The sequence below is a fragment of the Homo sapiens genome, chromosome 8 (assembly GCF_000001405.40).
Source record: "Homo sapiens chromosome 8, GRCh38.p14 Primary Assembly".
Lineage (NCBI taxonomy): Eukaryota > Metazoa > Chordata > Mammalia > Primates > Hominidae > Homo > Homo sapiens.
In genome coordinates this window covers 102,450,494-102,462,649 of record NC_000008.11, presented here as the reverse complement: position 1 = coordinate 102,462,649, position 12,156 = coordinate 102,450,494, and the positions used below count along the sequence as shown (strand labels likewise).

The 12,156-nt window shown below is 42.5% G+C and overlaps 1 long non-coding RNA gene and 1 pseudogene across 1 annotated transcript in view; both read right to left on the bottom strand.

Moving 5' to 3' along the window:
* LOC105375683 (uncharacterized) overlaps positions 1-12,156 on the bottom strand; it is a 110,442-nt gene that overhangs the window by 60,131 nt on the left and 38,155 nt on the right. Inside the window, exon 3 of the long non-coding RNA NR_168428.1 lies at positions 1,597-1,681. This is a non-coding gene — a long non-coding RNA (uncharacterized LOC105375683). The remainder of the gene's footprint in view (positions 1-1,596; positions 1,682-12,156) is intronic.
* Positions 10,044-10,924, bottom strand: HSPE1P14 (heat shock protein family E (Hsp10) member 1 pseudogene 14; annotated as a pseudogene).

Genomic DNA, 12,156 nt, shown 5'->3' with positions numbered 1-12,156 from the left:
CCATCTCAAAAAAAGAAAAATACAAAAAATTAGCTGGGCATGGTGGTGGGCACCTGTAATCCCAGCTGCCCGTGAGGCTGAGGCAGGAGAATTGTTTGAGTCCAGGAGGCAGAGGTTGCAGTGAGCTGAGATTACACCACGGCACTCCAGCCTAGTTGACAAAGTGAGACTCTATGTCAAAAATAAAAATAAATATTTAAAAAAAAAACTGGCAAAAAATTTGATAAAATTGTCACCTGTGCCTATTGAACCTGTAGCTCTATAGGAAGAAATTAGAAAGCAGCACATTAGTACTGTGTGTTGGTTGTTATTGACTGCACTGGACAGACTATTACAAGAAAGTGATGGTCACCGGAAAAATTGGCCAATTTATTGGCCGGGTGCGGTGGCTCGCGCCTGTAATCCCAGCACTTTGGGAGGCTGAGGCAGGCGAATCATGAGGTCAGGAGATCGAGACCATCCTGGCTAACACGGTGAAACCCCGTCTCTACTAAAAATACAAAAAAATTAGCCAGGCATGTTGGCAGGCGCCTGTAGTCCCAGCTACTCATAGTCCCAAGTACTCGGGAGGCTGAGGCAGGAGAATGGCGTGAACCCGGGAGGCGGAGCTTGCAGTCAGCTGAGATCGTGCCACTGCACTCCAGCCTGGGCGACAGAGCCAGACTCTGTCTCAAAAAAAAAAAAAAACAAAAAACAAAAAAACAAAAACAAACAATTGGCCAATTTACAAGCAGAAGTAAAAAAGGAATACAGTCCAGAAATTCAGTGTCCTGCTGAGTCGGAAACGCCAACTTTTTTTAGACTCTGAACTGGAAGATATGAGAAAAAACAAGGCTTTGAGTAACAAAGTTCCAAGAAAATTTCTGAGTTGAACAAAGTGGATGAGCCTTGTGCCAAAGATCAAATTAAGGGAGTGGCCTTCTAAGCCAGGTATGGTAGTGTGAGGTGGCAACCATTAAGTTGAAAGAGGCGTGGGGGAAGAGGGAGGCAGAAGGGAACTAAAGAAAATAAGGCAGGCTTAAAAAGTGTGTCTAGGGAGAAACTTTGGGTTACTGGCACATGGAACTGACTGGAGGTAAAGAGACAAGAAGCCTACAAAGTTTTTGAATCCAGGATCCCAAGCTTTTTGCTTTTTGACTGTTCAAAGCTTTGAGCCCCTAGTCTTGCTCAAGAAAGGCATTCCCCAAATAAACACTTCAACTGTGGCCAGGGAAGATGATGTGCAATGAATGAAAACCATGCTAGAGGGTGGCTGCAGGAGCCACAGAAACCAATAGAAAGTTCCTCCCAGAGAGAAAAATTAGAGCCTAATTGAAGGCATGAACACCTAGAGGATTTCAAATTTTCTCTTGACCAATGACTGCTGTGTGTCTTCTATTTTCTCTTCCAAACATGAGTGAAAAAGGCAGCAATTCTGTGTTCCATCATTTTATATTAGCATGGCAAGAGGCAGGGCCAGGACTAGAATGAGGCAAGTGAGATGGCTAGGGCACAAAATGTAAGGGGGTATTCATTCTCAGGCTGGTGTAAGTGCTGATTTGGCACAGAAGGAGCCACATCCACACCTGACGGTAGGTGATGCACATCAACACCTACCTTGTAGGTCTCGTTTTTTGAGCTGAATGTAGTAACTGGCTGGGACTTTGAACTCTTCATCTTCGCAGGTGGAAGGGGCAGTGTTCTATGTGTAAAAGGAAAAATGAAACAAATATTTGGTGAGCAGAAGCAAATATTGGCTGTTCCCCAACACCTCTTCTTTCACTTCCTTGGCGCACCAGTAGGCCATGTTTCCTTGTTCCTTTGCATCCGAGTGGGGCCATGTGACTGTGTCCTGTCCAGTAGAATGTATGCTGTCCAACAGAATAGTATGCAACTTTAGGCCTTGTGTTAGTCCATTTTGCATTGCTATAAAGGAATATCTGAGACTTGGCAATTTATAAAGAAAGAAGGATTATTTGACTCATGTTCTGTAGTCTATACAAGCAGCATGGCACCAGCATCAACTTCTGGTGAGGGCCTCAAGAAGCTTTCAATCATAGTGGAAGGCAAAGGGGGAGTAGGTGTGTCACATGGCAAGAGAGGGAGAAAGAGCAATGGGAAGGAGGTCCCAGACTCTTTTTTGTTTTGTTTTGTTTGTTAGAGACAGAGCCTCGCTTTGTCATCCTGGCTGGAGTGCAATGGCACAATCATGGCTCACTGCAGCCTCCACCTTCTGGGGTCAAGCAATCCTCCCATCCCAGCCTCCCAAGTAGTTGGGTCTACAGGTGCATGTCACCACACCTGGCTACATATATATATATATATATATATATATTTTTTTTTTTTTTTTGAGACAGAGTCTCTCTCTGTCATTATGGCTGGAGTGCAGTGGTGCAATCTTGGCTCACTGAAACCTCCGCCTCCCGGGTTCAAGCAATTCTCCTGCCTCAGCCTCCCAATCCCTGTAGCTGGGATTACAGGCGCATGTCACTGCTCTCAGCTAAGTTTTTGTATTTTTAGTAGAGACGGGGTTTCACTCCGTTGGCCAGGCTGGTCTCAAACTCCTGACCTCAGGTGATCTGCCCGCCTCGGCCTCCCAAAGTGCTGGGATTATAGGCGTAAGCGACCGCAACTGGTCTACATATATATAACACATATAATATATATGAGATGTGTCGCACTATGTTGCCTAGGCTAGTCTGGAATTCCTGGGCTCTGATCCTCCTGCACCTTGGCCTCCCAAAGTGCTGGGATTACAGTTGTGAGCCACCATGCCTGGCCCCAGACTCTTTTTAACAACCAGATCTCCTGTGAACGAATAAAGCAAGGACTCACTCATTATCTCGAGGAGGGCACCAAGTTATTCATGAGAGATCTGCCCCATGACCCAAACACTTCCTGCCAAGCCCCAACTCCAACCTTGAGGATCAAATTTCAACATAAGATTTGGAGAGAATAAATATCCAAACTATATCAGGCCTGGTCCCTAAAACCTCTGGTGCAATCATCTCTGCCACCAGATGCAAACAGTGCAGTGGAGCTCTCCCAGGCTCTAAAAGGCAGCAGAACCACAAGATAGAAGGAGCCTTGAAGTCTACCTTGTTGGAAGTGGTATGTCAGTGAAATACAATGTTATAAAAAGTGGTGTCAGAGATAGGCTGCTGGCGACAGACAATTAAGGAAATTGGAGAATTAGAAACATTAAATCCTGGCTGGGCATGGTGGCTCATGCCTGTAATCCCGGCACTTAGGGAGGCCGAGGTGGGCAGATCACCTGAGGTCAGGAGTTTGAGACCAGCCTGGCCAACATGGTGAAACCCTGTCTCCACTAAAAATATAAAAACTAGCTGGGCGTGGTGTCAGACACCTGTAATCCTAGCTACTCGGGAGGCTGAGGCAGGAGAATGGCATGAACCCGGGAGGCGGAGCTTGCAGTGAGCCAAGATTGCGCCACTGCACTCCAGCCTGGGTGACAGAGCGAGACTCCATCTCAAAAAAAAAAAAAAAAAAAAAAAATCACAAAATGAATAGAGCTGGACATCGTATCTGTGTTTTGCTTCCACTTAAGTTATCTTTTTGTTTTTAATAAGACAGGGTCTTCAAAAAATTTATATTTAGTTTTCATTAGTTTATTTAGGGACAGGATATAGCTCTGTCACCCAGGCTGGAGTGCCGTGGTGCAAACACAGCTCACAGCATCCTTGAACTCCTGGGCTCAAGAGATCCTCCCACATCAAGCCAGGCACAGTGGCTCACACCTATAATCCCAGCACTTTCGGAGGCACAGGTGGGCAGATCACGAGATCAGGAGATCGAGACCATCCTGGCCAACATGGCGAAACCCTGTCTCTACTAAAAGTACAAAAATTACAAAAATTAGCTGGGCGTGGTGGTGCATGACTGTAATCCCAGCTACTTGGGAGGCTGAGGCAGGAGAATCACTTGAACCTGGGAGGCTGAGGTTGCAGTGAGCCAAGATCGCGCCACTGCACTCCAGCGTGGTGACAGAGCTGGTCATGAAAAAAAAAAAAAAAAAAAGAGACATCCTCCCACTTCAGCCTCTACTACAGGCACACACCACCATGCTTGGCTAGTTCCTTTTTTTTTTTTTTTTTTTTGTAGAGATCTCACTGTATTGCCCAGACTAATCTTGAACTCCTGGGTTCGAGCGATCCACCCACCTTGACCTCCCAAAGTGCTGGGATTGCAGGCATGAGCTGGCCTAAAAGTTATCCTTACTGCTACTCACTCATTTAAATTAAAAAAGATGAAAGCAACCTAAGATCATCTAAACAAAATGGGCTTAAATTCCCTAATCACTAATAAAAAACAAAATCAAACGTACTAAAACCTAGATGGTAGGAGAGGAAATGAAAGATGTTTAGTATTGGTGAAAGTAGATATCAATGGGTGCATGTGTTCCCACCCAAAGATTTCCAAAAATCAATCTTGATTCTTACTTACATTATGAAAACTAAGATGTAATTTCCAATTATGCCGATGGTTCAAAACATTTCTTGAGTTGTGAACCACACTGAGAGTCTAATGAAAGCGATAGACTTTGCTCCCAGAAAAACGCATATAAATACATACATAAAACTTTGCATATGATTAACTGTATTGCCTTGGAAATGTTTTTCCTTCTCTTAGAAAATTATTTAAAAAGTTTTGCTTTTCTGATTTGGTTTTTCAAGCAAAAACTAATGACCACTTCTTGAAAATTAAAATAAATTTAAAAATTAAATGAATGTAAATAAAATACATTAATTTTAATGTTTAATTAAAATTAAAATAAATACAAGTTGTGCACATAGAGAAAAATAAAACAAAAAGTAAATTTTAATTCTGCTCAAAAGTAATTTCAACAAAAACAATGCTGCCCCTTTGGTTTAATAAGTGTGTGATCTTTTAAAAAAAAAAGACAAATATGTTCATTACCATAGAATTGACTTTAAGTCTTGCTTTGATGGAAATGAGTGTTGAAACCCTGCCTCATAAAGGTTTGTGTTAGTAAATGGAATCTGTGGTCCGGTGACCAGTTGAGGATGGGCTCGGATCAAGAACACCAGGATCGGTTGGGCATGGTGGCTCACGCCTGTAATCCCAGCACTTTGAGAGGCCGAGGCAAGCAGATCACCTGAGGTCAGAAGTTCAAGACCAGCCTGGCCAACATGGCGAAAACCCATCTCTACTAAAAAATACAAAATTTAGCAGGGCGTGGTGATGGGCACCTGTAATCCCGGATACTCAGGAGGCTGAAGTGGGAGAATTGCTTGAACCTGGGAGGTGGAGGTTGCAGTAAGCCGAGATGGCACCACGCACTCCAACCTGGGTGACACAGAGCGAGACTCCATCTCAAAAAAAAAAAAAAAAAAATTAGAACACCAGGATCCTCTACAACTCTTTGAGTTCAATTCCTGTTATTTCATTTCCTTTGTTCTCAAGTCAATGAAGTCATTTTTGGCAGTACTGGCCTTGTTACTGCTGTCTTTGTCAACAGGGAAGGGATTAGGGATTCACTTTCCACTTGAAGACTGTTGAAACAGAAGTAACACTCCAAAGTATTCTGAGGGTTTTCCGGTTACCACAGTTTCCTGACTGCAGAGAAATCGAGAAAGTGTCTTTGTCACACTCAATTCCAGCCTGCAGAAGAATCTGCTTCAGTGATGAAAAGTCTGAAGCTTTGTCCTTCCAAGTTATTCTTCCAAGTATATAGGCTTAGCCAAAAGAGCTTGTAGTTCTGTTTTTGTTTTTGTTTCTGCACCAGAAATATGTTTGTGATTCCAGGACCTGAACTGGAAGATTTTCTTCTTTCAGTACAACCAAACTATCTGCCTAACAAACCAAGCAGTAAGTGAATTCCTCCCAGTAGAATTGTTTGGAAAACTGGCATTTCTTTTTTTTTCTTAAGTACACACACGAGCTTCTCTTCAAGTTCAATAAGGACTTCATCACCCTGTCTTACTCTAGTTGATGATATTGTGCTACTATTATTTGACAAACCCTCTTGAAAAGATGGTGATTCGAGGATCTGGCTTGCAGGAAGTTGAAGATATCCACAGCAGTAGACAATGTGGTTGAGGCTGTTGACAGGGTCTTTGACACCAATGCATGCCGGCCAACATGCAGAGCTGCTTTCCTCTAAAAGGCAGTGTGGGGTTGGGCACAGTGGCTCACACCTGTAATCCCAGCACTTTGAAAGGCTGAGGCAGGTGGATCACTTGAGGCCAGTAGTTCAAGACCAGCCTGGCCAACATGGTGAAACTCTGTCTCTAATAAAAATACAAAAAAAAATTAGCCGGGCATGGTGGCACATGCCTGTAATCCCAGCTACTCGGGAGGCTGAGGCAGGAGAATCACTTGAACCTGTGAGGCAGAGGTTGCAGTGAGCTGAGATCACGCCACTACACTCCAGCCTGGGTGACGGAGCTAGGCTTTGTCTCAAAAAATAAATAAATAAAATAAAAATAAAAAAATAAAAGGCAGTATGACTGGATGGGCTGCCACACCTCAAAGGGGTCCCTCCTAGGACCCGAGCCGGAGTTTTCTTTCCATCAATGTGTACTTGGCAAAGGCTTTTCACAGTTTTGAAGAGGTTAGTAGAATCTATATTTTCCAAAATGGTCTCACGAAATATGGTTTTTGTTTTCATTTTTGTTTTTATTTAGAGGGCATTGGTCAGTATGCAAATAATGCACAAGACCCAGAAAGCCACAAACAAATGTTTGTAGTTTTGTTCTTTTCCGTGCTGCAGAGAAAGAGTATCACTTTCAATTATTCAAAGATCTGCTTTAAAACATAAGAGATATTATACATATAAAGTATAAGAAAGGAATATTACACATTTTGGAGTGGGTGACACCAATGGAAATATTCTGCCGCCTCAGCTTCAAGCCCTCAAAGAGACCAATTTCAAGACATGTGCCTTCACCAACATCTCTCCAATCACACAGATATTGTTTGGCTTGGTAATGGGATAAGACATCTTATAAGATGTGGCCGGGCACGGTGGCTCATGCCTGTAATCCCAGCACTTTGGGAGGCCGAGGTGGGTGGATCACCTGAGGTCAGGAGTTTGAGACTAGCCTGGCCAACATGGCAAAATCTGGCCTCTACTAAAAATACAAAATTAGTGGGGCGTGGTGGCGTGTGCCTGTAATCCCAGCTGCTCAGGAGGCTGAGGCAGGAGAATTGCTTGAACCCCGGAGGTGGAGGTTGCACTGAGCCGAGATCATGCTATTGCACTCCAGCCTGAGTGACAAGAGCAAAACTCTTCTCAAAAAAAAAAAAAAAAAAAAAAAAAAAACTTATAAGATGCTTCCAAATAAGGTTCTTGATTTGGGGATGAATCCATTTGACAAGATTCTAGTCTTCCCCAGACAGGATCCTTCTCATGAATCCACACTGTCTGAGATATATTTCAGGATATGGAGATGTCAGCTGTTTTTTCAGCTTTGTTGGAGTCAGGTTCTCATTGGCACAATCTTCCCTCATTAGAAGCACCGAGAGCTGGTATCCAATTGCATTAGCAATGAAAGATCACAGGGCATTAAAATTTAGTCATAGTGTACTTTCTTTTTTTTTCAACATTTTTAAAATTAAGCTAGACCCAACAAAAGCAAAGGCAGACATTTTTATTCAAAATAATAGAGTATACTTTATTTCATTTTCATCAATGGTAAACTATTTTAGAAATCTTTAAGTAGCAACAGTAACAATTGTGTATTATCAAACCACATACTTACTTTTCATGTGATAAAGACAGTTTAAGCAAGCAGAAAGTAAAATTTGAAAATCTATTCCAGCAAACTGCTCAATTCACTAGTTACCTGTGTGATTAAAGAGCTGATTGCAAAAGCTTGGGAGTCTTTGAATAATCTCTAGAAGTTCTCCACAGTAGTGAACTATATAATGAACTATGATGACCAATTCTATAGGTTTAGAAAGAATTACACATCTTCTAGCATGTTACACTTTCAACTACATTTATAAACCTATTCTATTCTGTTCTATTATTCTATTCTATTCTATTCTATTCTATTCTATTCTATTCTATTCTATTCTATTCTATTCTATTCTATTCTATTTTTTGAGACAGAGTCTTGCTCTGCTGCCCAGTCTGGAGTGCAGTGGTGCGATCTCAGCTGACTGCAACCTCCACCTTCCAGGCTCAAGCTATCCTGCCTCAGCCTCTTGAGTATCTGGGACTACAGGTGTGCACCACCACCCCAGCTAATTATTTTTAAGGTTTTGTAGAGATGGGGTTTCACCAAATTGCCCAGGCTTATAAACTATTTTATACTGTCAGTATCTTCACAGGTACAGGAGAAGTAGAATATAAAAAATTGAAACTAGAAAATTGTAATGTTCTTTCATTTCCTTCTAGACCTCATATGACTAATTTAGAGGATGAGTGTGACAAGACCACATAGAATAACAGTCTTGACTTTTCTTACATACACTTGACTACAACACTCTGTTAACTTTTCACTCATGTTAGCAGCAGTATCTTGGGCATAATTTTGTGCCTTATTCATATTGACTCTGATTTCCAGCAAATAATTATATAACCCTGGAGAGCTAGTCTTGGCCATGTCTTCATCATCAATAAGACGCTCTCTTTTTTTTTTTTTCCCTTTTTTTTTTTTTTGAGACAGAGTCTCACTCTGTCCCCCAGGCTGGAACGCAGTGGCATGATATTGGCTCACTGAAACCTCTGCCTCCCACATTCAAGCGATTCTCCTGCCTCAGCCTCCCAAGTAGCTGGGATTACAGGCACACGCCACAACGCCCGTCTAATTTTTGTATTTTTAGTAGAGACAGGGTTTCACCATGTTGGTCAGGCTGGTCTCGAACTTCTAACTTCAAGTGATCTGCCCACCTTGGCCTCCTGAAGTGCTGGGATTTCAGGTGTGAGCCACTATGCCTGGCAAAAGACTACTTTCAAAGAGTGTCTTGGCCAGGTGTGGTGGCTCATGCCTGTAATCCCAGGACTTCGGGAGACCGAGGTGGGTGGATAGCTTGAGCCCAGGAATTCAAGACTAGCCTGGGCAACATGATAAAACCCGGTCTCTACTAAAAATACAAAAATTAACCACGTGTGTTGGTACATACCTGTGGTCCCAGCTATTCAGGAGGCTAAGGCAGAACAACCCCTTAAGCCCAGGAGGTCAAGGCTGCAGTGAGCTGAGATCACACCACTGCACTCCAGCCTAGGCAACAGAGCAATACCCTGTCTAAAAAAAACAAAACAAACAAACAAACAAAAAAAAGTAGACTTTGAGAAAAGGAAATCAGTTTATTGGAGAGATATCTGCACTGCCCACCCCCATGTTTATTGCAGCATTATCACAATAGCCAAGATATGGAATCCACCTAAAAATGTCCATTAACAGATAAATGGATAAAGAAAATGTGGTATATATACACAATAGAATACTATTCAGCCATAAAAAAGAATGAAATTCGGCCCGGCGTGGTGCTTCATGCCTGTAATCCCAGCACTTTGGGAGGCCAAGGTGGGCGGATCACGTGGTCAGGAGTTGGAGACCAGCCTGACCAACATGATGAAACCCCGTCTCTACTAAAAATACAAAAATTAGCCAGGTGTGGTGGCGCGTGCCTGTAATCTCAGCTACTCAGGAGGCTGAGGCAGGAGAATTGCTTGAACCCAGGAGGCAGAGGTTGCAGTGAGCAGAGATGGCACCACTGCACTCCAGCCTGGGCAACAGAACGTGACTCCATCATCTCAACAAAAAAGAATGAAATTCTGTCATTTGCACATGGATGAGGCTGGAGGACACTATGTTAAGTGAAATAAGTCAGGCACAGAAAGATAAATACCATGTGTTCTCACTCCTATGTGGGAGCTAAAAAAAAAAAATGAGCCCATAGAAATAGAGAGCAGAACTGTTGTTATTAGAGGATGGGAAGGGTAAAGGAGAAGGTAAGGTAGGGAGAGATTGGTTAACAAGTACAAAATTCCAGATAGAGAAAAGGAATAAGTTATAGTGATCTATAGCACTGTAGGATGAGTATGGTTAACAATAATTTATTTTATTTATTCACTTTAGCTATCATTAGTTTATTATAAAAGACAGACATGGAAACTACTTACATGATGAAAGGTTTCATAACTTCAGTGGAATGGCAGCTTCATGTTGATGCATTTCAAGAGTGATTTATTTCAGTCTACATATTTTCCAAGAATGTCACCATCTCTAAATAAGAAATAATTCTTGGCAGGGCCCAGCATGATGGCTGATACCTGTAATCCCAGCACTTTGGGAAGCCAAGGGGGTGGCTTGAGCCCAGGAGTTGAAGACCAGCCTGGACAACATGGTGAAACCCCATCTCTACAAAAAATACAAAAATTTGCTGGGTGTGGTGGTGTGCACCTGTAGTTCCAGGTATTCGAGAGGCTGAGGTGGGAGGATTGCTTGAGCCTGGGAGGTTGAGGGCTGCAGTGAGCTGTGATTGTGCCACTGCACTCCTTCCTGCCTGGGTGACACAGTAAGACCCTGTCAAATGGAAGGAAGGAAGGAAGGAAGGAAGGAAGGAAGGAAGGAAGGAAGGAAGAGAGAAGAGAAGAAAAGAGAAAAGAGAAGAAAGGAAAAAGAAAGAGGAAAAGAGGAAGGAAGGAAGGAAGGAAAAAAAATAATCCTTGTCATCTAGAACTACTTTCGTGCCTTCATATTGTGGGAAAACTTTATCTTCAACTTTCACACTAACTGGTTGAATTTCTTTGCCCTTTGCTTTAGACCCTGATCCAACAGCTACTGCCATACCTTTCCTTGAGATTTTTGCTGGAAGCATAATGCCCCCTTTGGTTACAGCTTCGGTGACACTTCTTTCAACCAATACTTTGTCAAAGAGTGGAAGGAACTTTCTAAGTGCTCCCGCTGCCACCGATAGTACTCTGCTCTCACACTGCCCTGCAAATAGAGACCTCCAATAATTTAAATTAAAAAAATTATTTTATTTTATTTGAGACAGGGTCTCGTTCTGTCACCTAGGATGGAGTGCAGTGGCGTGATCATGGCTCACTGCAGCACAAACCTCCTGGGCTCAAGTGATCTTCTTGCCTCAGCCTCCTGAGTGCTGGGACTACAGGCACTCACAGATATGCCCAGCTAATTTTTTGTGTGTCTGTATTTTTTGTAGAGATGGGGTTTTGCCATGTTGTCCAGGCTGGTCTCGAACTCCTGAGCTCAAGCCATACACCGGCCTCAGCCTCCCAAAATACTGGGATTACAGGCATGAACTACTACAACTGCCAATTTTTTTTTCTTTTTCTTTCTTTCTTTTTTTTTTTTTTTTTTTTGAGACAGAGTCTTGCTCTGTCACCCAGGCTGGAGTACAGTGGCACGATCTCAGCTCACTGCAAGCTCCGCCTCCCGGGTTCACGCCGTTCTCCTGCCTCAGCCTCCTGAGTAGCTGGGACTACAGGCGCCCGCCACCACGCCCGGCATAATTTTTTTTTCTTTAAAGGGAGACGGTCTGCGTTGCCCAGCAACTCTCGGGCTGAAGCTAGTCTTCTGCCTCAGCTTCCCGAGTAGCTGGAACTATGGCACGCACCACCACGCATGGCTGGTTAACAATAATTTCGTGTATATGTTCAAAAACCTAGAAGAGATTTTGAATATTCCCAACACAAAGAAATGATAAATATTTGAGGTGATCTACATGCTAATTACCCTGATTTGATTGTTACACATTATATACATGTATTGCAATATCACTCTGAACCCATAAATTTGTACAGTAATTATGTATCAACTAGAAGGAAAAGGAAATAATGAAGGATGCTAAATGCTTGCCCAACCTATCTCGTAGCATTGATGTCCAGTATCGATTAGATTACATAATAAGAAAACATCTTGTGACCTCTTAAAAAAAAGTAGTCGTTGATATTTTCTGTGGTCATCTTGCATAAACCAAGTTTTTTCTTTGTACTATCAGTCTTATAATGCAGCATTGAATAAGCCGAGGAAAATAATCTTATTTATGATGTCCTGCAACTATCCTGTTTTTATCATTTCAGTGATTGTGAATTTCTATATTTATAGAAATCAATTCATGGACACCAAAAAATGATTTTTATTATCAGAAGAAATGAACTCTTAAAAGCACGTGCTGGCTGGCCACGGTGGCTCACACTTGTAATCCCAGCACTTT